The sequence below is a fragment of the Homo sapiens genome, chromosome 1 (assembly GCF_000001405.40).
Source record: "Homo sapiens chromosome 1, GRCh38.p14 Primary Assembly".
Classification (NCBI taxonomy): domain Eukaryota; kingdom Metazoa; phylum Chordata; class Mammalia; order Primates; family Hominidae; genus Homo; species Homo sapiens.
Window position 1 is genome coordinate 197,057,252 of NC_000001.11, and position 13,291 is coordinate 197,070,542.

At 36.4% G+C, this 13,291-nt stretch overlaps 1 protein-coding gene across 7 annotated transcripts in view, besides 1 other annotated feature; it reads right to left on the reverse strand.

Moving 5' to 3' along the window:
• Positions 1 to 10,009, reverse strand: part of F13B (coagulation factor XIII B chain) — a 28,520-nt gene extending 18,511 nt beyond the window's left edge. For 6 of the 7 annotated variants that reach the window (XM_047449422.1, XM_011509284.3, NM_001994.3 and 3 more), the window contains exons 1-6: positions 9,909 to 10,009; positions 5,606 to 5,806; positions 4,533 to 4,718; positions 3,648 to 3,824; positions 3,115 to 3,291; positions 35 to 214 (exon numbers count right to left, since the gene is read on the reverse strand). In XM_047449422.1, the coding sequence (XP_047305378.1) occupies positions 35 to 214; positions 3,115 to 3,291; positions 3,648 to 3,824; positions 4,533 to 4,718; positions 5,606 to 5,806; positions 9,909 to 9,972 (985 nt within the window). In that variant the 5' untranslated portion in view covers positions 9,973 to 10,009. Of the gene's footprint in view, positions 1 to 34; positions 215 to 3,114; positions 3,292 to 3,647; positions 3,825 to 4,532; positions 4,719 to 5,605; positions 5,828 to 9,908 lie in introns of all 7 variants that reach the window. The other variant, XM_011509286.3, reaches the window with a different exon arrangement.
• Positions 11,117 to 12,316: an enhancer, noted in NCBI's record as "BRD4-independent group 4 enhancer chr1:197037498-197038697 (GRCh37/hg19 assembly coordinates)". NCBI's record gives its function as "activates an origin of replication core promoter dependent on BRD2, P300/CBP, MED14 and CDK7 cofactors, and independent of BRD4, by STARR-seq in HCT116 cells {active_cell/tissue: HCT116}" and the evidence as "EXISTENCE:reporter gene assay evidence [ECO:0000049][PMID:35650434]".

The following is a 13,291-nucleotide window of genomic DNA, read 5'->3' on the forward strand; positions in this document are numbered from 1 at the left end:
CATTTTAGCAAAGCTTCTTCAAGGTGTTACTAACCAATGCATTTTGGAGGTTCTGTCCATTTTCCATCTTCACAACGTATTTCTGCTGACCCATGGATCTCAAAATTAAGTTCACATTCTATATGAACTATTTCTCCATGACGATAAGTTGTTGAATGTGTTTGAATTTTGGAGTTTATGGGCAGAGGTGGAGGAGGACATCTGTTTCTTCTTCCTTATGGAAAAAATTAATCAGCACCTTTAGTCATATAATTACAAAAAATAATAAAGATTAAATTAAAATATTCATCATGTCAAGCATCATAGAGAGAATGGCAGACTGATTCTAGGAGCATTCCTTTGATCCTCACCTCCTGATGTTAACTTCCTTGTGTGATACCCCTTTCCATGAGTAGGACCTGTGACTTGCTTCTAGCCCACAAAATACAGCAAAGGTGATGGATTAGTACGTGATTATGCACACATAATTATGTAACATCAGTTTTTAACGCCATTCTTGCCAAGAGACTCTCTATCCTTGCTGGTTTTGAAGAAACAAGAGGCTACATCATGAGCTTCCAAAGCAGAACGGCTGCAAGGCAAGGGGCAGAGGGCTGCCTTCAGTTAACAGCCACAAGAAACAGAGGCTCTCAGTTCAGCAGTCTGCAAAGCACTGAATGCTGCCAATAACTACAGTGAGTTTGGAAGAAGTCTTGCCCAGTCAAGCCTCAGATGAGACTGCAGTCCAGCTAACATCTTGATTGCAGCTTTGATAGCCATCGATGCAAGGAGTCGGTTAAGCCGCACCCAGACCCCCAACCTACACCCAATGGGAAATAATTTCTTTGTGTTGTTTTAACCTGCTGAGTTTGTGGTGACATTGTTACGCACCAATAGAATACTAACACAGCAGGCATTTTACATTCATTACCTCTTTTAGTCCTAAAATAACTTTATTAAGTAGGAACTATTATTTCTCCCATGTTATAGACAAACTAAAACTTATGAAGTAAATAAATTAATAGCATGTAGCAGATCTGTTCTTGAACCCACGTCTGTCTAAATTAAAGTCTCCTGCTCTAAAATACTGACCACACTACTTTCCTATTGCTGCTTTGATGAATTACAATTTAGTGGCTTAAAACAGCACAGATTTATCCTCCTACAGTCCTAGAGGCCAGAAGTCCAGAGTCAGTTTCACTGGACTAAAATCGAGATATCAGGAGAGCCACATTCCTGCTGGAGACTTTGGAGGAGAATCAGCTACTTTGCCTTTTCTAGCTTCTTGAAATCACCTGTATTCCTTGGCTCACAACCCCTTCCTCAAAACATTTCAACCTGTGGCTTCCATTGTCACATCTCCTGCTTCCTCTTCTGCAGTCAATCTCCCTCTGCCTCCCTTTTATAAAAGCATTTGTGATTATATTTAGAGTCTGGATAGATAGTTCCAGATAATATTCCTACCTTAAGATTGTTAACCTCAAAGTGTCTTGTACCGTGTAAGGTAACGTTTAATGGTTCTCAGTATTAGAATGTGGCTATATTTTGGGAGGAGTAAGAGAGATATAATTCAGCCCACAACTGAATTATATTGTTGTGGGCTGAATTATATTAGCCATTGTATGCCTAATGACTGTTTACCGGAAAAAACAGGCATGTTGTCATGCTGGCTAATTTGGAAGAGGAGAAGGGTATAAAAGGCCTTAAGTAGGTCTGCCATTTATTTTTGAAGTAGCACTTTGAGAGGCTGAGGCAGGCTGATCACCTGAGGTCAGGAGTTCAAGACCAGCCTGACCAACGTGGCAAAACCCTGTCTCTACTAAAAACACAAAAAAATTAGCTGGGCATGGTGGCCGACACCTGTAGTCCCAGCTACTCAGGAGGCTGAGGCAGGAGAATCACTTGAACCTGGGAGGTGGAGGTTGCAGTGAGCTGAGATCGTGCCACTGCACTCTAGCTTAGGCGACACAGCAGGACTCCATCTCAAAAAAATAAAAAATAAATAAGGAATAATAGACTTTAAAAAAATTTGCTTAAAAAATCTACTTCTCTACTACTATACCAAGGATGTCGAGCACAAATGAAAAATCATAAAATCTTTAAAGTTACTGTACAGTGCATTTAGGGAATTATGATAGTTCTGGCAATCCCACTGCATACCCATGGTCAGAGCCCTCATTTGTTTCCCCTAGCACCTGTTTCAAATCTTCACCACTTTCCTCCAAGTTCTACCTTCATGTCTTTCACCTGCCTGTCAATAGACCTTATATCCCATATTACAGAAAATAAAAAATGACTATCAAACCCTTTGCCTCACCCTATCCTCCCAATTCTCAAACTGCTACTTATCTCTTAAGACCCAACTTAAATATTGTCCATCACTTCTGTGAATGCTATTCCACAGCATACCAATCAGAATCTCTAATGTTTATTCCTGCACTTTGTACCTGAGTTGATTGTACCATTTGTCACATTATAGCAATTATTTTTTTCATATCTGCAATTACTGTTTTCATATCTTCTGCTAGTATAGGACCCTCCTCATATTAAATTGTAGGTTTGTTTAAATAACTATGGATGTCTTCTGACAGGTAATTGCATTACCTGTTTGGACACTTCCAGTAATAGAAATGTGACCATAGATATTACATTTTTGGGCAGCTTTTACAAGATGACCTCTTTTCCCATTTTCACTTCTGGGCATTATTCTTCTGCTTTTCCTGCTTTCTCTGCTTTCTACCTCACTATTTTGGAGATTAATTTTTACATCTGGAAATATGTGGCAAATTAAGAGAAAATATCCTTGCAAAGCTGCCAGATTGGGGTAATTAGTCCTAATAATTCCCAATAAGAAAAGTTATTCGTTATAATAAGGGATTTAAAATGTATAATAGATATTTTAAAATAATAAATTTAAAAGATATAGTCATTTACAAACTAAGACAAAACAAGATTTATTCAGGTGGGATATATTAAAGATTGCTGAAAATAGCACTGATTTAAAAGATAATATTTATTTTAAAAATAGGACTCAGGAAAAAAAATAGATATGACCACAGGAATTTTGTCAGAGCTAATAGAGATTAAAGCTGATAAAGACATGGCATTTTGCGAGTATTAAATTTAAAAATTTACCTTCGCATACAGGAGATTCTGGGTACCAACCAAAGTTATAGCATTGAATTAAATCAGATCCACTTAGATAATAATTTTCATGACAGAAAAACTGAACGACATCTCCTTCTTCATAGGTTTGCTTTACAGGATGAAAATAACCATTTTCAATTAATCTTAAAGAAGAGCACTTTAATTCTGCAAATAAAAGAATGAATAAAATTACAAACAAATGTTTATTTTTTCTGCTACAACAAAATGCACTATTTACATGACATAACTAGAATAGAAATTAAATTTGCCAAAAAGCTTATGAATTCATTTTATATATTTGTTAAATATCATTAGGCTTATTCTAATTTAATTCTGTGAGCTAAAATGAATTTATTCTACTTGAGAGCTTTAATTATCAAAGACTGCTATCAACATAATTAAAAATAAAGGCAAAAATGCATGAAAAGGTGAAACATAATGAGCATGACAACTTATATACACTTCTCTATGAGAAAAAGCTTTCAGAGTGAGAGTAGATTTTATTCCAAATGAGAACCTACTGGTACATTTTGGTGTGAGAGACCATCCGTATGTGAGACATTCTACCTCCTCTGTCTTCTTTCCTCCAGCTGTGTAGTAGCCAGTAGCACATTCGTATTGTACTTTGTCCTTCACTTTGAATGTTTTCTGTGTTGTGGAATAATTTCCATTATATAATTCAGGAGCCAAACATGTTTCTAAAATTATAAAAATTATTTATTTTATAAACTTTTTTAATAACCTAGATTATAAAAAATCTCAAAATATGGTTTTACAAATCTTAAGAATACATGGTAAAATCAACTCTTAGCAAAATTGAAAAATAGCCCCAATTTTTCTTTGCCTCTATTCTCTTCTTCATACACCTTGTGACCTAACTCTACCAGTTTTCTGTTTTTAAAATTCTAGTCTACAAGTGCTTGACCAAAGGCCAAAATTCAACTAAAGGCTTGTGCAGTAGCAATTGTGAAAGTATGTGCTGTCTATGCATTTTTACAATTTAAACAACTTACTAACAAAGTATACATATATTTAAATTATTGAACTATTTTTAAGTATATCTGACATTGGTTCACAATATAAAATAATGTACATGATCTTAAATTCTTCTGTAATAAAGGAAATAGTGACATATAAAGAAAAAGCTTCTTTCATTTTATTCCATTCCAATTCCTTTTATTGATGCAAAGTAGGAACTATTGGCGTAGGTGGGTTGTAGGGATTGAGAACATTTGGATTAAGGAATCACCTAGTACTTGAGAAAAGCAATGTAATATCAACTTCCTGCATTGTAGACATAATGAAAAATAAATTCTATTAAATAATAGATATCAATATAAGCTTCAATATATTCAATATAAGCTTGATAAGCACTTATCTTCAGTTTTAGGAAATGATTCTTATACCATGTTCTTTCCTACAGGTTGGTTGAGAAGACCATCCATCAGAGAGACATTGAACCACTTCTTCATCCTTCCCTCCAGTGGTTTTGTACCCTGAAGCGCAACCATAACGCATGTTCTCTTGAATTTTATACAATAACTTTACATCAGAGATGTAACCATTACTCAGGTCAGGCTTAGTGCATTTTTCTATGGGAAAAAAAATTATTTAACTTAATGATGAAACTAAGCTTGTCTTTTACTAAATTGTAAAATTAAGCCAAAAGTATAATGTTATTATTGGCGATTTCATTTTGGAAATATCTGCATAATTTTTTTGAAAATGGATTCAATTTAACACTGACTCTCTTTGTATTTACTAATTTTAGTTCTTATAGTAATTTCTACCCCTACCACATCTACTTCTAGATAGGTTTACTAGATATATCAACCACAATAGCCATATTCAACATCCTCTTTTAAACGAAACTGGCTCAACCAAAGCCCCTTACTCTGGGTCACCTGCCCTAGTGGAAGATCATTGATAGTTTGATGATAGTGTAGCCTGATATAAAATAATGAAATGAGTCAATTAGATTACCTTCTCACAACTTTGAACTCAAACTTTCAATTCAAAATTGAAAAACACATTTTTCAATGGGTATCATGAGAGAAGTTGGCACATGAAGAGAGATGAGTCTTACAAATGATAAAGCATTAGAGTAGCAATCTTGCCCTTCCAGAGGCCAGAGTTTCAAGCATTTTTCTGGCATCTTATGCTTAATTATCAAAATAAGTTTCTTGTTACTTAAAGTAAATTACCTCTCTTTGCCTTGCAATATGATAATTTCAGTTATTACCCTATTCCCTTCAACAGAGTATTATTAAAAACAGATACAGAAAATAACATTTTAATGTAAAAGCATTATTTACTGGATTTCAAATTATGCCTTCATTTTGTAGAAAGACAGATTGCTAGTGATTTTGTTCTTATCTACTAAAAGGTTTAACCGCTTTCCATTTTTATTGGACCCCTATTTTTATATACAAATTTCTTTGAGTATTGAAACATTGAGTGACATATCCAGCTGACTTACTGAAGCACCTTGGCTCTGGAGACCAGCCTTCTGTTGTACACGTGGTTTGCTCTTCTTGTCTTCCACTTTCAGTGGTATAACCAGCCAAGCAGAAAAATGACAATTTTTTGTCTATGCTCATTGGAAAGTAAAAGCTTTTAAAAGTATAGTAATATTGGGCAATTCTTCCATTTTCCACATGAGGAAAACCACAGGGTTTCTCTGAAATGAGTAAATGTCAAGCTGAAAATGGAAAAACAAATCTAAAAACATAAATTTGTAATCAGGTGACAATACAAACTAAAAGTTTTTAGAGACACTTCAACTAGTACTTATTTTTCTTACTTAAATTTTTAAGGTACTTTTGTGACAACTCAAGCAGTCCTTTTATCATAATTGATCTGCAAATGACTTTAAACATCCAACAGTCATGATAAAATTTAGCAGACCACTTTTTCAGGGAAGCTTTGCATAACTTCGTAGAACAGTACTTTTTTTTTTCTTCCTAGACACAGAGTCTTCCTCAGTTATCCAAGCTTCAGTGCAGTGCTGAAATATAGCTCACTGCCACCAGGAGCTCCTGGGCTTAAGCAAGCCTCCTCTCCTGTAGCTAGGACTGCAGGCACATGCCACCACATCTGGCTAATTTTTGTTTTATTTTTTGTAGAGATGAGGGGTCTCACTCTGTTGCTCACGCTGGTCTCAAACTCCTGGACTCAAAGGATCCTTCTGCTTTGGCCTCCCAAAGCACTAGGATTACAAGACTTGAACCACTCCACCCTGCCTGCACTTCCTAATAGATATGTATTGTAAGTCACTTATGTAATTTAAAAATTTCTAATAGTCACATTCATAAAAATACTAAGGAACAATTGAAGTTAGTTTTAATAATAGGTTTTTATTTAACCCAATATATTGAAAATATTTTACATTCTTTTTTTTTCTAACTCTTTAAAATCCACTACATATTTATACTTACAGAATATCTGATCTTGAACTAGTGACATTTTAAGTACTGTCTCCAATAGCTATATGTGGCTGATGGCCACTGTATTGGACAGTACAGTTCAGGAATAGGTAAAGTTTCTCCTTAACATATGCTAACTCATAAAAAATTTTGAAATAAATAGCATTAAAAGAAAAAACAGACAACCAAGTAAAACAAAGCAATACTTGGCAAGAACTTGGCAAAATAGGATATTTAAATGGTTAGAGACCTGGTACTTAGCATTACTAGTCATCAGGGAAATGAAAATTTAAACCACCATGAGATACTACTGCATATCCAATAGAACTGCTGAAATGAAAAAGACAAGCTATCTCAATGATTGTGAAGAAGTGAAGAAACTGGAACTCGCATATTTCTACAACTGAAAGTATAAATCAGTCCAAACTCTATGAGAGAACACCTTTGCAATATATATTGGGGTAAAACATGTACAAACCATATTACCCAATAAAAAAAGCACATATTTGTATACCAAAAGACATGGAAAAAAATGCTTATAGTGGCAGTATTCATATAGTCCCAAACTGGGAACAATCTAAATGCCCATAAATAATAGAAAAGATAAACACATTTTAGACTATGCATACAATGGAATATTATCCAACAACAGAAATGAACAAATGGTGAATCTCATAAACATAATATTGAGTGAAAGAAGCCAATCACATATGAATTAATGTATACATTTGCATAACTTTTTAAAAGAAAACAAACTAATCCATGATAATAGAAGTCAGAATGGTTACCTTTGGGGTTTAGTGCCTTAGAAGGATCATATTTCTGGGGTACTATCACTGTTCTATATCTTGATCTGGATGGTGTAAAATTTTGTAAAAACTATATAAGTGTATCCTGTGATTTTTGCATTTTTCTGGATATGTTATACTCCAAATAAAACATATATTTTAAAAATATATCTTTATGTTGAAGATCTTAAAGTCATAAAAACACTTAAAAGAAAGAAATGCTCGAACAATCCTAGGAGCTGTGGTGGGAAGAAACATGGGCAGTCATGGATGGAAGAAGGCCTAGATCCAGTGTGATTACTACGGCTTCAATGCCTTGGTTGATCACTGTATACCTTAATGCTACTATGAGACATAAAATACTAGTAGTGCTAGCCTAGGTTTGAAGGAAATGGATGTGGAATGATGAGCAACAAAACTTCCACTATCTGATGGAGCAGACAGAAAAACATGGGCTGGATAGTCCCCATTCCTTGAGAATTATTCTCACCATTTTTTCACACCCAAGCACCAAAGGAATTTACAATAAAAAGAGTCTTCCAAAATAGCAGTGCAATGGTGAATACACAAGAAATTTCCCTGAGGGGCACAGTTGCTTGTCAGGGAGGGGCAGCAAAGTATTCTCTGCACAACAATCCTAGGTTGTGGCTTTAAAGACTCTCTGTCCTGGGACATCTCCCTCCACCACCAGGATAGGCACATTATTTGTTAAGGTAGCTGGAATGCCTTGGAGAATATGAATTCCTGACAAAAAATTAATGAGAAATGTGAGGAATATACTAATCACATATAAACCAGGAAATCACAGATGTCTGAACATATTAAAAAAAGTACATGAAGCGATGGACACACTTACTACTGATCAGAGAATGGTAAATAAATAAAAATGGGATATCACTTTATGAATAACCATATAGCAACCAGTACAAAAATGGACAATATGAGGTGTTGGTGAGAATGATGAGGAGCAACAATTTACATCCTCTCTCAGAGATGATATACTTCAAAACTGCCATTCTGCAAAAGTAATCTCTCATTACAGAAATCAAGTACAAGAATAGACTCAATAATGCTATCTGTGAGTGAATACAGACTGATGACATTCTTACAGAAAGATAAGTTGGTTATATTACAATATTCATTCCAGAGCTATTTGTGGTTGAGAGAGCTAGAGTAACATGTTAAAACATTGTAGTAGGTCCCAGGGGAAATGGACTTCAAGATTAGGAATAAGGGGATAAAATGTGTAAGTAAAGCAAGAGTGAGACCTTTCATAGGCCAATAATACTTGCATACCATGAAATGAGAAACACAATTAATTCAATTCTTGTCCCTGAAGTGCACAATGGGAGTTGAGAGAAGCATGCAAAAATAAAATCATTGTCTTGGTCTTCAAGCAGCTTACTTTTTTTTTTGTTGTGTAAAATAGCATTATAACCTTATAATAATTAGAAAATTAACTAGAATATTGCAATGTCTTTATGGTATAGATAACAGACAATTATATCTGCTGGTATTTCCCTATTTAGACAGAAAAATAAAATCAAAAGAAATTCATGCAAAAATCATCCTATTATAGAATTAAAAGTATAAAATAAGATTAATTCTGTGTCTTTCACTTTTATAATTTTAATTATAGATGTTTTGGTAGAAAATTTATAGTTAACTATTCAACTAAAACACAGTTAAAACTTATGTATTTAATTTCAACAAATTCCCAAAAATGTTTATTTTAGAAAAGCTGTATTGCTGTAGCTTCCTTCTTTGTATGTTCACTCTTGCTAATGCTAAGTGTCCTCCCTGGATTCTTCATCCTATGGCCTGATAATATTGATAATGTTCCTGAACAACATACCCATGTACACTGCCTAGCTTCCACTCGCACACTAATCTTACACATTGGGCAATCTGACTATAAAGCTTTCTAATAGGGAGTCCATAGGTATTGGTTTGTTTGGAAAGTCCTGATTTACATGTGTTGTCCAAACAGTTATTAATAGAGCCCCTCTTTTACTCTCTAAGTGTCCCTGTTTGTACAAGCAATTATATGGTTCACCTACTAATCACTACTTAATGTCTCCAACAAATGAATAATTCATTGTGATAAAAATCAAAGTCTCAAAAGTAAAAAATATTTATGGCTATTTCCTTTTCAAATTTCCCACATTAAACTCTCACCTTATGAACAGAATTAAAATTGTACAAGTTTTGTCAGTATTAGGAATGGATTCTAGCATAAATTTAGAATTAAAGTTAACATGTGACTTCGAAATGGACATATTGTTAACCTGAAAACCTTTTCGAAGTATTTAGATCCTGGTCTCCTATGCCCCCTAGAGATACAAGGGTTTTTGTTTTGTTTTGCTTTTCTGACTTATGCTACTGTAAGAACACTTTACTAATTTTGCTCAAAGGAAAAGGTCTAAATATTATAAAAAGTTATATTTATAAAATATGTTATAAAATTGATAATGAAAATAGAAGAGTATATTAAAACTTGAGTTGTATAAATATTAGAATCTCCATTTGTATGTTTTAGAGAATAAAGAATATTAAGAATTAATTTTACCTTCTGCATAGAGTTCTCCTGAGATTATCAATATGATGATAAAAGTCAGGTTTTTCAACCTCATCTTCAGTGGTGTGCTTCACAAAGATTTTAACAATTCTAAGCACTAGGAACTTGTCATTAAGTACACAATACTTCTCTTGAGGAAAAAGTTAATAATTTATAACCTCTGTCTAAGTCCTTTTGTAACGAGTCTTATATTTCACTTAAAATATTTTGAAATAATGTTAAAATAACACAACTATATTAATTGACATTACTTACCATGTCAGAGTCCAGTAAGAGCATGATAACTGATTAGGGCAACAATAGCAGCAGAATAAATAATAAATTATAGCAGCAGAATAAATAATACTAGGTAAATTTTCAACCTAAGTTCCCAATTGTAAATTCATAGAGTAAAGTTCACTTGAGGCCATAGATCTTTACTAATATTGATCAGGTAAAAAGATGAACTTAGGAACATGAGATAACAGATACCTGATGTTGAAATATGTTGTTGCCTAGACTGCACTCCTTAAAGAGATACAGAACCATAGTTGTCTCAATGATAGAATAGTATTACTTATAATAGTAGTGTTTGACATTTAGAGAGTTTTTACTTTGTGGCAGGTGGTGAGATCAGCACTGTGCTATATCAACATTCATTCATGAGAAATGTTTAGAACGTCCATGATAATGGCAGCACATGTAACAGTTTTGAGGTATTTAGCAGTGAAAAAACTGGATTAAAATTATTGCCCTCATGGAGTTTACATTCTAATGAGTTTTAATTTAAAATACAAAATAGGAAAAAATGGTGGATAGGAGGCAGGACTAACTTGCAGCTCCCACTTGGATGGACAGAGCAGGATGTGGAGACTCGCATTGTGAACTTTTGCTCCAAGAACTGCTGCAAGGATATAACAGGAAAGCCAAGATAATCCACAGACCCTCTGAAGAAAGTATATTGCTCCTGCATGACCCAGAAAATAGCCCACATACTGTGAATGCCCAAACTGTGAAAAGTGTGAAAGGGGTATTGTCCACCCCTGAACACACACCCTTGGGGAACCTGAAGGTCTAGATCACAGGAGAAGGATTTGACCTTACCTGGAGCTCAGACAATTTAGAGAGCTGAGCGAAATACAGGGGTAGAGGAAGCAAAGGGTAAAGCCCCATCGTCTCTGTGGGTCCCCAGAGAAGCCATTTCTGACTTGTCTCACAGGGGCTGCCGGAGGAACTGGGAAAAGACCACAGGGAGAAGGAAACCTCCAGCTGAACTTAGTAACAATTCCAACCGAACACAAACTTTCCTGTCCAGAACTCAGGAAAGGGCGTGAATCTGGTGTGCAGACTTAACAGGTAGGGAGGCACAAAAGTCTGGCTTGCATTCTCAGCTGGGAGGCTAGTAGCCTGGGGCAAGTTCTCAATCCTGCTCCCCTACTGCCTGGAAACAAATTCGGTGCTTTTTGGGGGAACACAGTAGAAGTGAGATTTGCTTGTTGGGTTGTGTGAGAGCTGGGTGAGGTCTGTAACTGCCAGCTTTCCCCCACTTCCCTGACAACCTGCATGACACAGAAGAGGCAGCCATAATCCTCCTGGGAAGGTAACTCCATTAACCTGGGAATCACACCCCCATTCCCCACAGAGCCACAACAAGCCCCACCCAAGAAGACTCTGAGCTCAGACATGCCTAACCCTGCCCCCACCTGATGGTCCTTCCCTACCCACCCTGGTAGCTGAAGACAAAGGTCATATTCTCTTGGAAGTTCTAGTGTCCCACCCACCACCTGATCCTCCCCTATATACCACAGCTGATGCTCTCATGAAAGCACTACCTCATGGCAGTGTGTCTGGAATTGGTTCCTTCCAATGGGTTCTTGGTCTTGCTGACTTCAAGAATGAAGCTGCGGACGCTTGCGGTGAGCATTACAGTTTTTAAAGATGGTGTGTCCGGAGTTTGTTCCTCTGATGTTCAGATGTGTCCAGAGTTTCTTCCTTCTGGTGGGTTCCTGGTCTTGCTGACTTCAGGAGTGAAGCCGCAGACCTTCACAGTGAGTGTTACAGCTCTAAAAGATGGTGCGTCCGGAGTTGTTTCTTCCTCCTGGTGGGTTCGAGGTCTTGCTGACTTCAGGAGTGAAGCCACAGACCTTCGCGGTGAGTGTTACAGCTCATAAAGGTAGTGCAGACCCAAAAAGAGAGCAGCAGCAAGATTTATTGCAAAGAGCGAAAGAACAAAGTTTCCACAGCCTGGAAGGGGACCAGACCAGGTTGCTGCGGCTGGCTCGGGTGGCCAGCTTTTATTCCCTTATTTGGCTCCGCCCACATCCCGCTGATTGGCACATTTTACAGAGTGCTGGTTGGTCTGTTTTTACAAAGTGCTGATTGGTGCATTTACAAACCTTTAGCTAGACACAGAGCGCTGATTGGTGTGTTTACAATCCTTTAGCTAGACAGAAAAGTTCTCCAAGTCCCCATTCGACCCAGGAAGTCCAGCTGGCTTCACCTCTCAGCAGGAGGCCAACCAGCACCAAACTAGTGCATCAAACAACTACAACTAAGGACCCTCACAGAGTTCCTTTCACTCCCCTGCCACCTCTACTGGAACAGGTGCTGGTATCCATGACTGAGAGAACTGAAGACAGTTTACATCACAGGACTCTATGCAGACAACCCCCAGTACCAGCCCAGAGCCTGGTAGCCCTTCTGGTGGCTAGATCCAGAAAAGTAATAATAATCACTACAGTTTGGCTCTCAGGAAGTCACATCCCTAGGAAAAGGGGGAGAATACTACATCAAGGGAGCACCCCGTGGGACAAAAGAATCTGAACAGCAGCCTTGAGCCCCAGATCTCCCCTCTGACATAGCCTACCCAAAAGAGAAGGAACTAGAAAAACAATTTTGGTATTATGACAAAACAAGGTTCTTTAACACCACCCAAAAATCACACTAGCTCATCAGCAATGGATCCAAACCAAGAAGAAATTCCTGAACTGCCAGAAAAAGAATTCAGAAGTTTGATTATTAAGCTAATCAAGGAGGCACCAGAGAGAGGTGAAATCCAACTTAAGGATATCAAAAAAATGACACAAGATATGAGCGGAGAAATCTTCAGTGAAATAGATAGCATAAATAAAAAACAGTCACAACTTCAAGAAATAAAGAACACACTTAGAGAAAAGCAAAATGTACTGGAAAGTCTCAGCAATATAATAAAACAAGCAGAAGAAAGAACTTCAGAGCTTGAAGACAAGGTTTTCGAAGTAATCCAATCCAAAAAAGACAAAGAAAAAAATTTAAGTGAATAAAGCCTCCAAGAAGTTTGGGATTATGTTAAATGACTAAACCTAAGAATAATTGGTGTTCCTGAGGAAGAAGAAAAATCTGAAAATTTGGAAAAC